The sequence below is a fragment of the Homo sapiens genome, chromosome 14 (genome assembly GCF_000001405.40).
Source record: "Homo sapiens chromosome 14, GRCh38.p14 Primary Assembly".
NCBI lineage: Eukaryota > Metazoa > Chordata > Mammalia > Primates > Hominidae > Homo > Homo sapiens.
This window is the reverse complement of record NC_000014.9, coordinates 56,649,801-56,668,052: the sequence shown is the minus strand read 5'-3', so window position 1 is coordinate 56,668,052 and position 18,252 is coordinate 56,649,801. Positions and strand designations below refer to the sequence as shown.

At 43.4% G+C, this 18,252-nt stretch overlaps 1 protein-coding gene across 2 annotated transcripts in view, besides 1 other annotated feature; it reads right to left on the bottom strand.

Moving 5' to 3' along the window:
* Nucleotides 940–2,139: an enhancer, noted in NCBI's record as "MED14-independent group 3 enhancer chr14:57132632-57133831 (GRCh37/hg19 assembly coordinates)". NCBI's record gives its function as "activates an origin of replication core promoter dependent on BRD2, BRD4, P300/CBP and CDK7 cofactors, and independent of MED14, by STARR-seq in HCT116 cells {active_cell/tissue: HCT116}" and the evidence as "EXISTENCE:reporter gene assay evidence [ECO:0000049][PMID:35650434]".
* Nucleotides 4,888–18,252, bottom strand: part of TMEM260 (transmembrane protein 260) — an 83,641-nt gene continuing 70,276 nt past the window's right edge. Inside the window, exons 16-17 of one of the 2 annotated variants that reach the window (XR_007064017.1) lie at nt 7,424–7,514; nt 4,888–5,663 (exon numbers count right to left, since the gene is read on the bottom strand). Coding sequence is in view for 1 of the 2 variants with exons in the window: in XM_011536851.3 (XP_011535153.1) it covers nt 17,940–17,981 (42 nt within the window). In the remaining variant the exon portion in view is untranslated. Of the gene's footprint in view, nt 5,664–7,423; nt 7,515–17,147; nt 17,982–18,252 lie in introns of those variants that run through there. The other variant, XM_011536851.3, reaches the window with a different exon arrangement.

Below are 18,252 nucleotides of genomic sequence, written 5' to 3'. Positions count from 1 at the left end.
CCTCCTTGAGCTGTGGTGGGCTCCACCCAGTTCGAGCTTCCCGGCTGCTTTGTTTACCTAAGCAAGCCTGGGCAATGGCGGGCTCCCCTCCCCCAGCCTCGCTGCCGCCTTGCAGTTTGATCTCAGACTGCTGTGCTAGCAATCAGCGAGATTCCGTGGGCGTAGGACCCTCCGAGCCAGGTGTGGGATATAGTCTCGTGGTGCGCCGTTTTTTAAGCCGGTCTGAAAAGCGCAGTATTCGGGTGGGAGTGACCCGATTTTCCAGGTGCGTCCGTCACCCCTTTCTTTGACTCGGAAAGGGAACTCCCTGACCCCTTGCGCTTCCCAGGTGAGGCAATGCCTCGCCCTGCTTCGGCTCACGCACGGTGCGCACACCCACTGGCCTGCGCCCACTGTCTGGCACTCCCTAGTGAGATGAACCGGGTACCTCAGATGGAAATGCAGAAATCACCCGTCTTCTGCGTCGCTCACGCTGGGAGCTGTAGACCGGAGCTGTTCCTATTCGGCCATCTTGGCTCCTCCCCCCATCTGCTTGTATTTCTAAAGGCTCCTTCTGGCTATTGTGTTGCGGATAGACTGAGGAGGGGGTAGGAGTGAGAGCAGAGAAAGGCAGGAACAGGGATACCAGCTACTGGACATCTATTTTTAATGCCCCATGGGCACCTGAGACTCAAAACTCCAACACTGAGCTCATTATCCTTCTTCTAAACTTGCTCTTCTTCTTGTGCTCAGGACACCCAAATCCACCAAGGACTGAAGCCAGAACCTGGAATTTCTGCCCCTGCAGCCCCTTCCCCTCACATCAAAGCAGTCACAAGTCCTATCCACTCTAGCTTCTCAATATCCCATTCATTCATTCATTCATTCATTCATTCACTATTTCACTAGTTTGTCAAACATTTACTGGATACTGACCATGTTTCAGGCCAGTACTAGAAAGGTAGATAATGGTGTCTGCCCTCTGGGAGCTTACAGTTTAGCGTGTGAAACAGATAACAAAACTAAAAATGAAACTATACCTGTATGACTTCCACTCATGCTAAGGGCTATAAAGAAAATAAACTAGTTTTAACAAAGGAGAAAAATAGCAATACTCTTAGGTAAGCGGGCCAGGGAAGGACCTCCTTAGGAAGAGATGCCTGAGAAGGGATGAGTCATGGGTGAAGAATGATGTATTAATTTCCTAGGGCTGCAGTAACAAATTCCCTCCAACTGTTACAGTCTCACCAATGTGCCACAATGTAGCAGTTTCTCATTATAAGGTATCATCCAGAGTTCTTTGTCTCAGGACGGTGGACACAATGGGTGAGGTTGGAGCAAAAGTTTAATAAGGGAAAGAAGCTCTCTGCTGCAGAGAGGGTACCCAGAAGAGGGCTGCCATTTTCACAATTGCGTACAAAGGCTTTTATAGGAAATCAATGAGGGCCGGGTGTCTCATCTGCCTAAGGCACAAATTTCTGGTAGCTCCACCCCATCTTCCTAATGCGCGTGTGGGCCCTTAGCTTGAGTTATTCCATATTGCTTTGTTCCCCTTACTGCACATGTGTCAGGGAATGGAATTTTCCATTGCGGGCATGTCTGGGCAAGTCACCTGTGCAGGCTTTCTTATCTATATGGCTGTGGCATGTCTCAGGTAAGCCCTCCTGTGCAAATTCCCTTATCTGTCCCTGCCGGCTGTTCTTTTGTTTGAAAGGATTCAACCGAAGAGCCACCCTGTCTGCCTAACCATTTTTTTTTTCCTTTCTCCTCAATCAAAACTGACTCTTCTTGTCATTCCTTGGCCTATGGACACATCACTCCAGTTTCCACCTCCACATGGTCACATTCCCTCCATGTCTCTATCTCTGTGTGTCCTCTCCTCTTACAAGGATACTAGTCATTGGATTTAGGGTTCACCCTAATCCAGTGTGATTTCACCTTAACAAATTGACATCTATAGATGTCAATCTGTATTTTCAAATCACTATTTTAAATAGTGATCTGTCACTGTATCACTGTCACTATATCACTGTCAATCACTATTTTCAAATAAGGCCAGAATTTTGGGGAGATACTACTCAACCTAGTACAAAGGAACACTCTTTTACAGGCATACAGGGCAGTTTTTACACAGGCCCTCAGGTGAAAAGGCTTGGAGTGTTTGGAGCCAGTGTGGCTGAAGTGTAGGCGCAAGGAGTAGAATGAACCCAGGTGAGCTGGGAAAGAGGCAGCCCCAGGGTATGAAGGCTTAATAGGGTATAATAGGAAACGGCTGAAGTGTAAGGAAAAGCGTCTCTCCAGATGGAGAACACCAGGGTGTGTGATATGGAGAAAGAGAGAGAGAGGGAGAGCGACGAAAGGATACAGAAGAGGAGAGAACTGAAGGAACAGAGAGAGTCCTTGAGAAGGCGGTGGTTCAGGAGCGGAAGAGGGGAAGATAGACACAGAAGCAGACAGGTATGATATAAGGGAAAAGGGAAATCCTCTCTAAAGGCTTCTATTTTCTCAACTACATTAGATAGCTAAGAGGTGGAGGAGTGGGAGCTGAAGTGTGGAGAGAAGAAAGCTTGGGATGTTTGTCTTGGAGAGTGAGAAGTCATGCTTGCCAGGATGGCCGGGCAGTGTTAAGAGTCTGTTCAGGGTTTGGTTTCTAGAATATGTTCATTTTTCTTTCTCCCCACTGTTATCGACCTAGTTCAGGCCACATCATCACCCGGTGTAAGTGCAACCACCTCTGACTGGGTTCTTTTCTTCCCATCGTGCCCCACCCCAACCCGGTCTATTCTCCACATTGCTGTCACCACGGTCATTCAAAGTTTACGTGGTATCACTCTCCAGCTTAAAGTCCTTCCCCTAGTTTCCCACTGTCCTCCAGATAAAACCCAACTCTGTACTGTGGCTCTCAAGATCGTTATCAGCTGGTTTATGCTTCACTAGCCTCATTTCTTGCCACTTCCACTCAAATCCTGCACTTTTTTTTTTTTTTTTGAGACAGGTTTTGCTCCGTCACCCAGGCTGGAGTGCAGTAGTGCGATCATAGCTCACTGTGCCCTCAAACTCCCGGGCTTAAGCAATCTTCCCACTTCAGCCTCTGGAGTAGCTGGGACTACAGGCTTGCACCACCACACCCAGCTAGTTTTTTTCTTTTTCTTTTTTCAGAGACAGGGAGTGGGGGCTGGGGTGGGGTAGTGGTGGGGGTCCCACCGTGTTGCTCAGGCTGGTCTCAAACTCCTGTCCTCAAGCGATCCTCCCACCTCATCTTTCCCAAGAGCTGGGATTGCAGGTGTGAGCCACCACACCTGTCCTAAATTCTGCATTTCAACCACTCAGAATTACTTTATAAATTCCTTGAACGTGCTGTCCTCTCTCCCCTTCAAGGCTTTGCACTTGCTCATCCCTGTTCCCGAATCCTCTTTCCCCTCCTACTCTAGCACTCCCCAGTCATCTGCCCTCTCCTGCTAACTCTCCTCCTCCCTGCAGCTCAGTTAGTCCGCTCTGCCAGCCAGCTTTCTTTGACATCCTCCACTCTGAGTCTAGATAGGTTTCCCGTACAACCCTCTATGTTTCCCTTATAAGAGCAAGTACACCTTATAATGCAATTGCTCCTTTACCTATCTTAGGTCCTCATAAAAGTATAAACCCCTTAAAGTTTCCTGTTTTTCATATTACTTGACACATGCCAGATACTTTTTAAAAATGTGAAATACGTAAATAAATGAAAATATTAAAACAGTTCATGTCTATGCTGAAAGTCATAAGTAACTCAAAGCTTTCAAACAATTGGTTCTGCTTCCCCTCGAGGCACAACGGGATTGACCTTGATGCGGGGGGACATCAGGGAACTGCACTCTGCACCGCCACCAGGACCCAGACCCCTGTTTCATGCTCTGCTTCTCAGTTGGACTTCTGACTTCCATCACGAACTACATGAGGCTTTGGGAGGGTTCCCCGCAGGATAATTTCTGCCGTGTCTTTCTGCTCCTTTGCACCCCCTGTCTCTGTTGTAATCAGTGATCTCTGTGTTTTGGTCATAGGGAATGCTTTTCTTTATAAGTGCTCATCCAGCTTCTGAGAGCCTTGGAAGAGTGTGTCTTGGAGTCTCCCCGGTCATTTGATTTTGAATTCCCAGAAATTGTTATTGTAAGCTGCTCTTTTCTTGTAGCACAAATAACTGTCCCAGTTCTCATACTTCCTACTCTGCCTTTGGGCAGTGTCCCAAGGATGTGCTTCCACTCACACCCAAGTAGTCCTAGAATGGCTTCTCAAATGACGAAAAAGAACAGAAGATGTTGTGGTTTCTGTTTTGCATTACTTTTCTACACGAAGGCCTTCTGATCTTTTTGGAAGTATGCTGATTCCAACTGCTCATGCATGCAGATCCAATTCCTGCAGACTGGCAAGATCACGCTGCATCTTTAACCCATTCTATTGATGAAATAATAGTTTCCCTTCTCAGTTCTAGTCTTCAGAGAAGTCTTCACCTAGCTTTCATGTCATTATTGGGTAAAACTGGCTATCTTTTGCTCTTCCTCATGTTCTAATCAATGTACTGATTAGTGTGCTTTGGATGTCACATAAATAGATACATGTTGGCCAGGCTGGTCTCAAACTCCTGATCTCAGATGATCTTCCTGCTGCCTCAGCCTCCCAAAGTGCTGAGATTACAGGCTTGAGCCACCATGCCCGGCCAGAAATATATAATTCTTAACCCTCATTATTTTGGGTTGATCTCAGTACCCATAAACCCTTGTTGAAAATTCCTGCATTACTAATTTACCCACTTCTGAATGTGCATTTGTTTTTGGTTAAAAAAAATTTACTCTTGTGTACAGTTTGTAAATATGCTTTTTCAAAATAAAACCCATGTTTTCATTTCTGTAATTGTTAAAGAGTGACAAATACAGTGTATCGATGCTCAACATTTAATGCAACTGCTTTTTTTTTGAGACAGAGTTTTGCTCTTGTTGCTCAGACTGGTGGGCAACAGCGCGATCTTGGCTCACCCCAACCTCCGCCTCCTGGGTTCAAGCGATTCTCCTGCCTCAGTCTTCCTGAGTAGCTGGGATTACAGGCATGTGCCACCACGCCTGGCTAATTTTGTATTTTTAGTAGAGACGGGGGTTTCTCCATCTTGGTCAGGCTGGTCTCGAACTCCCAACCTCAGCTGATCCGCCCGCGTTGGCCTCCCAAAGTGCTGGGATTACAGGCGTAGCCAGGGTGCCCGGCCAATGCAACTGCCTTCTAGAATGTTTTGTGTACTGCAGAGGCTGGACAATTAAAACTGTGCTTCCCAAATGCCCTTGCACTGAGGGTTCTGGATGTGAGCGTAGTTCGGCCATTCAGATACACTCATGTGGGATTCAGAAGGTGGCAGTGAGACACAGCCTACATTTTCTATTGTTTTTGCGGGCAAGCCTAGTCGGAGATAGTTTCCCTGTGTCTAATCAGTAGCTTTGTGTGTGTGTTGAAAGGCAGTGTTGGGGAAGCCATTTAATTTGTGTGGATTCTAGTGGGCACAGGGGTGGTTCTGGTTGTAGCAGTTGCAGTAACTTCCTGACCACGGTGGCTTCTGAGATATAGCAGGGGTGTCATGGTTCTGGAGTTTGGGACAAAAGCAGTAGCTTCCCATCTTGTTAGGGAGCTTCCTGGTTGCGAAAGGCCGCAGTTCTGTTGGTGGCCGGGCTCTGCAGAGAAGTTTTGAGAGTCATCTTTGGGAAGGTTAAACCTAGAGCCTGTCTCTTCACCCTCCTCATAATTCTGTCAGCCATTTAATGCTTAAACTAGGTGGAATGGATCCTGTTCTTGGCAATAAATCCATGACCTATATACCACGGGAGTAGTTGTTTGCAATATTAAATATAGCTTCTGGCGGAAAGATGTTTAGACAAGAAAAGTAGCTATCTGAGAAGACAGACAAGATTTAGACTTTCTCTTGATAGCTGCAGCTATGTAGAAGCCAAATCATGGCTCTTGCCACTTGGGATGCATGTACAACTTTCTGTGGCAGTAACAGCAATCAGATTTTGAGGAGTGAATGAAAGGCAGACCTCTGGGGGCCCTAACTTTCACACTAAACTTGAACTCACCCTGAGACCTAAACTTATAATCCCGAAGGTCTAATTCTTCTGTCACAACCTTTCTAATGATGAATAGCCTCTCTCCATTCTCTGCCTCTTTCTCCCCCTTCTCACAGGAGTAAGGACTCCCACTCCACCCCCACATACACATGTGTGGACGGGAGAAGGCCATTTGTAAAGTAACAGTGTCATATAAACAACAAACTCAAGTTTCAAAGGAGAAAAGATAACAAAATCTGCAATAGAACATATGCCTGTGAGAAAGGACAATTATTCCTCTATGACAAGAGGGGAAACTCACTCACATGGCAGGGAGAGGCTGACCATGAGAACAAGTCTAGGAATTGGCTAGTCATTCCTTTAGGCCAGGTCCTGTTTCACTACAATTTTCCCTTTTTTAATTCCTTCCTTCCCTCCCTTCCTCCCTTCCCTCTTTCCCTCCCTCCCTCCCTCCCTCCCTCCTTTCCTCCTTCCCTCCCTTCCTTCCTTCTTTCTTGCTTTTTCTTTCTTTCACCAACTACCTGTCTGTCTATCCATTTTAAGATTGGGTAACACTTGCTCATGGTACAAAATTCAGAGCTAACAAGGGCACAGAGTGAAAAGCAAGTCTCCTGCTCCACCACCGAGGGCATTCCTGGTTCCCTACCCAGAAGCAGGCTTTGTGGTTTCTCCCCTTTTTCATTTTCCCACGCCTCTCACCTCAGATCCTATGGAAGCATCCACAATTGTGGGGAAGAATTCCAGAGGAGAGGCAGAGTCTAGGAGGAGGAGGGGTGGCGACCACCAGGATTCCAGACCCACTAGGCTGGTACCTGGCCCAGGGTTGGATCCTCCAGCGTGGACAGGACAGTCTGTGGTTGCCTCCTGCAGCCACCTGACACCTGGGCAGTAGTGGGAGGGAGGCTGGTGCCTTTTTCTTTAGCATGGTTGTCTGTTTGGTTTTATTATGTTGTGTCCCCACTCCCGCCTCCAGCTTTTCCTTCAGCTGCAAACCAGAGTGCCTATGGATGAATGTTTGTTTACATATGTCATGTTGCTGTCCCTTCAGAACAAATGTGTGTATTTGAGGCAGGAGACTGTGTTTGGTTTTTAAACTAAGTGGAACTGCCAAACACCCTTCACCCAGCTTGTGGACAGGTGCACTATTAAGAGTTTACATAAGAAAAATCTGTGCCAATTGTAACAGGTAGAGAAGAGAGAGCGAGACAGAGACAGAACCTGAATAATCCTTTGGCAATTCTTAGTGTGACACAAGATTCACTTCCTTCTTAGCAATTCTGTGCCTCATGCCTCATTCCTGATAATTTTAGGATCTGCTATGTCTTTTGCTATGAGAATTAGCATCAGCAGCTTTCAAAATGACTTACCAGTTAGCCCCTCCAGAAATCTTAGGACATTATTCTTTTCTTCTCCAAATTCCCCATCTCTAAGCCTTCTAATTCTCCTTCAAATTTCCATCTGTAAAGTTAATACAATCCAATAAGAAAATAATGTGCTCTTGAGACGTTGACATGCTCAGAGCCATTTTATCCTGCCCTTAAGCCTGGAAAGTTTGAATTTTCCTTGGGATAAAAAAGTAAGAAATAATAGAATAATTCACTGTACTGTAACAATTAAATCCAGCAATTTAACATTGCGCATTGGTAAATATAATGCTTGCAACAACCAAAAGTCTCCCACGTATTGACAGACAAAACCAAAGTTATAAATCTACACCTCCTATTCCGAACCACATTCCTAAATGTAAATAAGCATCCAAGCATGCTGCTACATATCTTTACAGAAGCAATTACAAACAAGCCTTATCAGTTGCTAAGTCACCAACACACACAATGCTTATCTGCTATGCCCTCTACTGGATAGAGTACACAAGGCAAGTCGCATTATTTCCAATTAATTTTTGGCATCATCACTCTGCATCTGCTTTAGGAATGCAAGGCGTGAAATTTATAGTAGCAGGTTTAATATTCCATCCAGCCAAATCATTTCGCTACAAGGACTTACCTTTGGTAAAATATTTTGGGTTTTTTTTTTAAGTACATAGATTGCTTCTCCCCTTCTTGCAACCCACTGTCCAAACTCTCAAGCTGTCACAAAACTCAGTACGTGGCAGGAATAATTTCATGCTGAGTAAAATGTGTTTAATTTCACATCTTCTAAGAATAATTACTTAGCATAATGCCACTTAAAATGTATTTTTATCTGCAAATGCTAATGAAGCTACAAAAACCTGACTCATCTTTTGAAAGAATGAGGGTATTAAGGGTGCTTCGCCTCCACTCCCTCTTCTCCGTAGTGGCTGCCTGAAGAGAGAAACCCGGACTGGAAGAATAATCCCCGACTAGATCCTGCTGTCTTCAAGCTGGGTGTGAGCCCAGTGGCTTTGAGGGGAATTTAATCCCATCGGCCTCTCCGGAGCCTCCCAAGGTGCTGAAAACAGAGCTTCAGGCTCCCTGGGGCTGCCCAGTTCTCACCCAGGTCCACCTAGACAGCTACTAGGAAGAGGCTCAGGCCCAGGGTCGAGAGCTACCTACCCTAACGACTAGGCTGGTGGCAGGCCTGTGGCCTTTGGCCTTAGGGATTGTGTCTCTTTGATCATTGGTGCACCCAAGTCATAAAGACCACTGTCCTATCTATTGTTTGTCTTGAGGCCTAAAGCAGTAGTTAACAAAGAATGACAAGGAGTAAAGGGGGAAAAGGAGTGCCTTGCTTTTAAAACTAAAAAAAAAAAAAAACAAAAACCAAAAAACAAAAACCCTCTTTTATTCCTAAATAGTTTTAGAATTACAGAAAAGTTGCAACAATAGTTCAGAAAGTTCCTGTCTACCCTTCATCCAACTTCACTCACCTTAATATCTTACATAATGATCAAAACCAAGAAGCTGGGACATTAGTGCAATACTTACTATTAACCACACTATAGATTTAAATTCAGATTTCACCACTATTTCTAATAATAGTATTTTTTGTTGGGCGTGATGGCTCATGCCTGTAATCCCAGCACTTTGGGAGGCTGAGGTGGGCGGATCAACTGAGGTCGGGAGTTCAAGACCAGCCTGGCCAACATGGAGAAACCCTGTCTCTACTAAAAATACAAAATTAGCTGGGCATGGTGGCACATGCCTGTAATTCCAGCTACTTGGGAGGCTGAGGCAGGAGAATCGCTTGAACCTGGGAGGCGGAGGTTGCGGTGAGCTGAGATCATACCATTGCACTCCAGCCTGGGTGGCAGAGTGAGACTTTGTCTAATAATAGTAATAGTATTTTTCTGTCCTAGGATTGAATCCAGGATCCCACACTGCACATAGCTGTCATGTCTCTTTAGTTTCCTTAAATTCAGGACACTCTCTTGTCTTTCCTTGTCTTTCATAACCTTAACATGTTTGAAGAGTCCTGGTCAGGTATTTTGTAGACAGTCTCTCAATTTGGATTTGTGAAATGTTTTCTCATGATTAAATTAAGGCCGGGTGCGGTGGCTCAGACCTGTAATCCCAGCACTTTGGGAGGCTGAGGCGAGTGGTCAGGAGTTTGAGACCAGCCTGGCTAACATGGTGAAACCCCGTCTCTACAAAAAATACAAAATTAGCCGGGCATGGTGGCGGGCACCTGTATTCCCAGCTACTCAGGAGGCTGAGGCACAAGAATCACTTGAACCTGGGAGGTGGAGTATGCAGTCAGCTGAGATTGCCCCATTGCACTCCAGCCTGGGCAACAGAGTAAGACTCCATCTCAAAAACAAACAAACAAAAAAATTAAATTGAGATTATATATTTTTGGCAAGAATGCTACAGAAGCAATGATTCCCTTCATTGCTTTGTGGAAGCAGGGCCTGCTTTTGTAGCAATGAAGCTAAGCAAGGGTGTGGGATAAGAGCCTGAATGAGATCAACATCCCTCTAGAAATTTGCGTGGTGGCTTTAAGGAGAGTTAGGCACCAAGCTTAAGAGCAGGTGACACACTTTTATTACCTCTCGCCTCCTTTCTCTGTTACTATGGGTGGCAGTGGGAGAGGTGGGAATATTTCTTTGCCACAGATAGACAGCATGAATGTTTTTTTAATCCAATGTTGCTGAGACCAGCAGAAGGATAAAGGGTAGCCAAAGAAAGCAGAGAATTACTCATGTTGGTGTGGGAAAGAAGGTGGGGAGAGATGTGCCAAAATAAAAGTGTGGTCTAATGACCGTTTGTGGGTCCAGTGAAGCCCTTTGTGGATTCAGCAAAGCTCCAGATAGCCCAAGAATGAAATGCAGACATCTCAACAGGTGGGAAACTTGTTAACTTGGGTTGAGAGGGTGGTGGTAAACATTTCGTAAGCAACACTTTTAACAATGAGAAAGCAAGTTTCATTCCTTGTTTGGGTAGAATGTAGTAGTGGTGAACAAAGATCCTTGGGCAGATTTTTAGTTTGGCATTTTGGCTTTCTCCCCTTCTGGAATGGAAGCTCTGTCGGGGACAGGGCCCTTGTCTGGTTCCCCTCTGAAAACGTCGTATTCAGACCTGGCACATTATAGAAGCTCAAAAAATGTTTATTAAATGTAGTAAACGTAAGTGAATGGGATGGGCATGGTGGCTCATGCCTGTAATCCCAACACTTTTAGGAGGCTGAGGTGACAGGATTGCTTGAGCCCAGGAGTTCATGACCAGCCGGGGCAACATAGAAGACCTCACCTCTATTTTTAAAAAAGTAAAAAAAAAAGTGAATAAATGGGGTGCTCATTTACAAAACATACTCTTGGCCACTCCACTCATCCCAGCTCAGCAATCTATGACCCTATCCCCCAGGATGGTTTTGAAGGTCCAGCAGGGCCCCTGTGCTCTGGACTGCAAGCTTTCTGACCTACGCCAGTCCTCCAAGCGCCTGCAGAAGCTGTCCTGGTAGGAGACTGTTCTCTGAGAAGTCCCTGGGGGGTAGAATGCAGGGGACAATAGACTAAGATCAAATATATAGATGGTAAAATCTAAGTTTGGGAAGAAGAGGAGATAATGTAGATGCCTGCTTCCAGGTGGGCCATGGTTTGGGGAAACCAGTAGAAAGAGGGAAGGACGGTCATGGTAATGGGGTCTCGTGAAAATGAATTGTGCACACGATTTTTACTTGTGTGTGTGCATGCGTGTGCACAGATTGAGATGTGTTTTTCTTATTAATGGGACTGATTTCATTTCTTCAACTGCTTAGTGCTTTTTGGTTACTCTCTTCTAATTCCCAGATATTCACATAATTTAAATAACGTTTTTATATTTATAATTATCATTGTAATTTATTTGAATTATTTAAATTTTCCAGATGCATATTTAGTAAAGACGTTTTTAAACATACTAGAGAGACAAGCAAAGTACCAGGAGGCTTTGAACATTTATTTTACTGAGTAGGAAGTAGAGAAGAACTGTTTTTACTGACATATTAATGAAAACAGCCAACATGACTTGCAGTTGGTCTATATAGGCACTGTTCAATACACTTTATAAATATTAACCTTTTTCATTTTTATAGCTGCACCATGAGGTAGTCTATTATATTTCCATTCTACAGAAAAGGAAATTAAGCCACACAGAGCTTTATTTATTTATTTATTTATTTGAGATAAGGTCTCACTATATTGCCCCAGGCTGGAGTGCAGTGGCACAAACACAGCTCACTGCAGCCTCAACCTCCCGGGTTCAAGCGATCCTCTCGCCTCAGCCTTCTGAGTAGCTGGGACCACAGGCACACGACACCATGCTTGGCAATTTTTAAAAATTTTTTGTAGAGATGAGGTCTCAACTGTGTTGCCCAGGCTGGTCTCAAACTCCTGGCCTCAAGCGATCCTTCCATCTCAGCCTCCCAAAGTGGTGAGATTACAGGTGTGAATCACTGTGCTTGGCCCACACAGAACTTTAAAAACTTACTCCAAGTCACACAGTGAGGAAGTGGCAGAGCTGGGAGTCTAATCACTATACTATACAGTGCTTCTGGTGCAATCCAGAAAAATCCTATCTTCTGGAAAGAACTCTGTTTCTGCTCTTTGCTCTTTTAGGGGCAAAATGAACCCTCCAGACCCACATCCTTCCAAGTGCTTCTTTGTGCAAGCAATATGAACTAGAGTTGTCCCCTCTTCCTGGGAGGGAAGTCACAGTGACTTCCCACAGGAGATAGCACATGGCTATGGGAGCTTTAAGAGATGAGATGAAGGTGTTAAGGTGTTGGCTTCATCCAGGTGCATGATAATAAAATAGGAAAATAGAATCTCTATTGTATCCAAATTATAAGCAGGTCACGTTTCACATGACAATATAAGCACAATTATTAAGGGATTTCATGGGATCCCATAAAATAAAGTTCTAGTCTTGTTCACACATTTTCTTGGTACAAATGAGCTCACATATTTACCAGGTTTAGGCTCTTTAAATCAACTATTTATTTGTTCAGCAAGGGACAAGTGAAAGAGAAAAGTTTTGTCCTAGTAAAAGCGAACCCTGTGAAATAGGTAATCTATATATCTTTATCAAACGCGCAAAGTGCATGCAGCATGGCTTATGTGGTCACATCAGAAGGGGATTTTCGTTTCTTGAGGGGTGCCAAACTTATTTGCCTCCGAAGATGAAGGGCCAAATTACTTTTTTTTTTTTTTTTTGAGATGGAGTCTTGCTCGGTTGCCCAGGCTAGAGTGCAGTGGCGTGATAGCTCACTGCAGCCTCCGCCTCCCGGGTTTAAGCAATTCTTCTGCCTCAGCCTTCGGAGTAGCTGGGATTACAGGCATCTGCCACCTTGCCTGGCTAATTTTTGTATTTTTAGTAGAGACGGGGTTTCACCACCTTGGCCAGGCTGGTCTCGAACTCCTGATCTCATGATCCACCCGCCTCAGCCTCCCAAAGTGCTGGGATTACAGGAGTGAGCCACCACGCCCGGCAGGGCCAAATTACTTCTAATTCTGAGAGTAAATGAAGGAAATTTAGGTGAAGCAATTAAGTGGCTAACAAATGTCACCAAGATTGTTATAATAACAGCTATTATTACTATTTTTACTACAGTCTATATTTTCACAAATCATACATATAAACCAAGAGTCAAATTTGGGAGAAATCATTGTCACCTACACACTGAATACATAAGGTTCATATTTAGGATATCAGACACTTAGGTCTTCAAAGAGGTTTCTGCCTTGTGGACATTTAACATTTTTTTTTTTTTTTTTTTTTTTTTTTTGAGATGGAGTTTCGCTCTTGTTGCCCAGGTTGGAGTGCAATGGCGCGATCTTGGCTCACTGCAACCTCTGCCTCCCGGGTTCAAGCGATTCTCCTGCCTCAGCCTCCCAAGTAGCTGAGATTACAGATTTGTGCCACAACACCTGGCTAACTTTGTATTTTTAGTAGAGATGGGGTTTCACCACCTCAGGCTGGTCTCGAACTCCTGACCTCAGGTGATCCGCCTGCCTCGGCCTACCAAAGTGCTGGGATTACAGGTGTGAGCCACTGCACCCGCCTGACATTCAATATTTTTTAAAAAGTGGCTGAACCAAATAGAAGAATCATGAATACCAGTGGTAGGTGGGGTCCGTTTCTGGGAGGTAAAGTCTAATTCCAGTGGAGCTGGGACATATTTCTTTCTCTAAAATACAGAAATATGATTGTGTTTTGATGTCTACTTAAGAGGGGTAAGAAATATATAAACTAGTGCAACATTTTTCAAATTGAGCTTCTAGCAGCTGATTCAGCTGGAATGTAATTTATGCTAATAAGTTCCTGGATTTCAAAGTGACTTTTTTCTTGTCACACTAAAACCTTTTAATTTGGGTATATATTCCGAAGTCCAGAAAGGGCAAGAAAATTTTCAGTCAAAAGCCAGGGATATAACTATCCACGTCTAAAAGGAAAGGGGAAAAAAATTACATTCTGGAGGGTTGAAGGAGAGGGGGAAAGTTCAACGTATAGCTTTTAATTTCCTGCAACATAGTTGATTTCACACACCATTTACCCCTAGACAAGTTTATGCTAATTTTAAAATGGCTGCATTATTTGAGGACTTCAATGTGCCAGAGGTGATGGTGGAATATAGCTGGTTTCATGTAATTGGGACTGGAGTAGGGAAACTGTACCAGGTTGAGCCAAGAAGCTTGTGTCCTAGTCTCAGTGCTGTTACTACCTAGCTGTGTGACAGTAATCAAGTCACTTGTTTAGTATAGATGTCAGTTTCTTCATTTATTAAACTAGATTAGCTGTGATAGTTAACACTGGATGATCCCTTACTAACCCTTTTGATGTCCTGTTTTTTTTTTTTTTGTTTTGGAGACAAGAGTCTTGCTCTGTCACCCAGGCTGGAGTGCAGTGGCGCGATCTCGGCTCACTTGCAACCTCTGCTTCCTAGGTTCAAGCAAAACTCGAGCAGCAGCCTCCTGAGTGGCTCAGATTAAAGGTGCGCACCACCTCGCCCAGCTAATTTTTGTATTTTTAGTAGAGATGGGGTTTTGCCATGTTGCCCAGGCTGGTCTCGAACTCCTGACCTCAAGTGATCCACCCGCATTGGCCTCTCAAAGGGCTGGAATTATGGGTGTGAGCCACCGTGCCTGGCCTGGTGTTAAGTTCTTCTAAGCCAGTGACTTTCAAATTTATTTTTTTACTATGACCTACAATAAGTATATTTTATATTGACTCTACACACATTTATCAATTTCTTTACATACACACATATATGACATATATGTTATACACACATGCATATGTGCATACACATTTTAAATGAAACTGAAGGTTCCATGAAACAATACTTACCTTTGTTACCTCGAATGCATTGTGGTATTTTTTTATTTTTTATTTTTTTTGAAACAGAGTCTTGCTCTGTTGCCCAGGCTCCAGAGCCCGCCACCATGCCTGGCTAAATTTTGTATTTTTTAGTAGAGACGGGGTTTCGCCACGTTGGCCAGGCTGGTCTTGAACTCCTCATCTCAGGTGATCCACCTGCCTTGGCCTCCCAAAGTGCTGGGATTACAGGCATGAGCCACCGCGCCCGGCCCATGGTGGTGTTTTTAATTCTATTTCATTATGAAAAAGCTGGTCAATTCTCACTCAATTGACTTCATGACCCACAGTTTGACAATCAGTTTAAATAAGCACAATCCTGCAACTGGAGGAACTGCCTCCAGGTGGATACAGGCGACTGCATAGGTTAATGGCTAAAATTCTAATCACTGAAAGAGAAACTTAACTGTGTAGATACAAGCCACATATTGAATGAATATGCTATAATTTTAGGGGAAAATTATGACACTCTAAGTAAAAACAAACACTAAGTACGAGTATTCTCTATCAGTGAAGTTGCTTGTTTTAAGCTCTGCATAATTGAACTCAGTTTTTTATGCTTTTAAGAACGAACTGTTTTGAAAACTTTCACCTGTCAGACTAAGGAACCCTAGTTTTTTGATAAATGAATCATTTTCCATTTATAAACAATCCTCTTTAAAGTTTCTGTAGCTTTTGCAAGAGTAATTTTTAAAAGCTCTTGAGTTTTTATAATAATTTTTTTTTTTTTTTTTTTGAGACACTCTGTCACCAAGGCTGGAGTGCAGTGGTGCAATCACAGCTCACCTCAACCTCCACCTCCCAGGCTCAAGGGACCCTCCTGCCTCAGCCTCTCAAGTAGCTGGAACCACAGGTGCATGCCACCTTGCCCTGCTAATTTTTGTATTTCTTTTGTAGAGACCAGGTTTCACCATGTTGCCCAGGATGGTCTCAAACTCTCGGACTCAAGCGGTCCACCCGCCTCAGCCTCCCAAAGTGCTGGCATTACAGGCATGAGCCACCACTCCCGGCCCTGAATTCCTGTGTCTTAGCTGATACTCAAGGATCCAGGGTAATGGGTGATTCACTTAGGTCCATAATCCAAGGATGAGAAAACTGGGTGTGATTTTCCAAGCAGTGTTCCCCTTTCAGTTTTAATCACACACACTTTTATATGTGAACAACCATCACTGGTATTAAAGATATCTTCAACAGTTCAACTATCTAAGGGAATATTTCATTTAGCTGAGAGAAATATCAAGTACCTTCTTTAAAAGGTTACATTTCAAAAAATACCCTTTCAGATAACACTTCTAAATAGAAGATGATTATGGTTTGTTATTTTAAAAACAGGACATAATCTCCATTTATTAGTTTGCAACGTTTATGAACTTAATGATTAAAAAATTTTATGCCATTTCCATCTATTGTACTTCACCCTATACTTCTTATACGCTAAAGTTTTGAAATGGTTAAACCTTAGATTTGGCTTATTTCTATGTATCTTTTATTATACTTATCCTCATCTAATGGCAACTATGTACCAGAAGACTTGCAACTCTGCAGTTACTCTGTGAGGTTGGATCACTGGGATAGGAGTATAGCCCCATAATTGTGCCTTTGTGTCTTGACCTTTATATTGTAACTTTCTCAACCTTGTAATATCATCGCAATGTTTGTATTGAAAATTAACCCTCACATCTAACTTTGGATCTGCAGCAAAGAGTCAGAGAACTCCACTTTCAGGCCAATAATTGTTGGCTTCACATGTACAGTGCTGGAAACGCTACTTGTCCTTCCCATGTGGCATCACCACCTTTTTTTTGTTTTCCAATATGGCATGAGCTAATCTTTCTAGTACATACAATTTCCATCAAATGTATGTTACATTGTTGAAGAGCAATCAGAATTTTTTTTTTTCCTGAAAAACCCCTTTTTCAGGATATATTCCTGTTTAATTTTCTATAGCTGAGTAAGCACACTGTACTATTCCTGGGGCTGTTTTAAAAATACTGTCTGTGCTGATCCAAATCAAACAGACCTTGAGAGGGTGCTGACAATGATGTCTTCATTGAATATGATCACTGCTAAAGCTTTAGCTCCTTGTTTGCTCTGTAATGCTGTGCCAAGATCTTGGCCTTTAGATGTTCCCAGAATCCCTGGAAACATTACTTATTTGTTTGTGAGTATCAGCATTAGAATGGTTTTGCATTCACAACAAAATGTGAATCTCTTACTGGGTTGAAGTTGTTTTCTTTAACTAACCATAAGACTTGAAGCCAGTTAGAACAGAATTCTAAGTAATATCCTGTGTTGATGCATTTATAAAACACACCAGAAGTCGGGAGTAACAGGATTCTATTTTTTTTCAACTTTGGTATAAAATTTTTCCTAAATATTAAAGCATTAACATTTAAAAATTCTGAGGGATATTGATGAGAACTATGATGAAAGATTCACAATATTTCACTTTTAAAACATAAACTTAAAAAACTACTCTTCATATCCTAGCCTGATGACTTAAAAGTTACCGGCAGAGTATCATAAAAATAAACCTAACACTCAAAATGGGTTTTAAATATCATAAAGGCTAAACATTATGATTCTACCAAGAGAAAACACTAAGAATATGAGCAGAAATAACATTTCACAATTTCTGTTTGAAGCTTTCAAAATAATACACTAGTAATTGATTCCCTTCTATTTTGGCTACATTTTGAGTAACAGAACAGAAGCATTGAACAAAATGGGTGCTTTTAAAAAACAACAAAAAAAGGCAAGTCAATACCAAGAACCAAGCATACTCCTATCAGAGGCAACAGCGGGGGCACAGGGAGTGTAGCCCACCCAGTGGTTAGTCAGATAACATGGGAGCCACCATCCGCTTCTCCACTTGCCCTCTGGTGCGTGCCAGCCTTGGTGCCAGGGCGGCAGGGCCCTGACGCATGTGGAGAGTCAGACAGTTTCACTGGCTCCCACTGGCTCTTCAGGCCGAAGTCCAGGCAGAAGTTGGCCTTGTGGGGTTCCTGTCTTCCTGCCAAACCATGGCACTCCCGGGACACTGCTAGAACGCTGGCCAAATCTTGCATGAGAAGTCACCTCCATTACAGTCTCCTCAATGTCGGGGGTCAGACTACAGGAAACCCCTTTTATCAGATTTTATGGAGTCTGTACACTAGCCAAGGAAAGTAAGAGAAAGAAAAAGAAAGCAACTTGTTTAACCTCACCTAATAGAAAGGAAAGGATTCTCCAAAGTAGTTCATCTGGGAATGAAGCCCAACATCCCTAAATCTCAGCTCAGTTTACTAGTTTTTCATTTACCAGTGGTTTTTAGAAACTTAAATCATTATGATCCTATCTACTCCGGGCCATCATATCATTGGTTTCTCAAAGAGAGAGTGGCCCAAAGTCACTGTTGCACACATATAGAATAATCTAGGTACCAT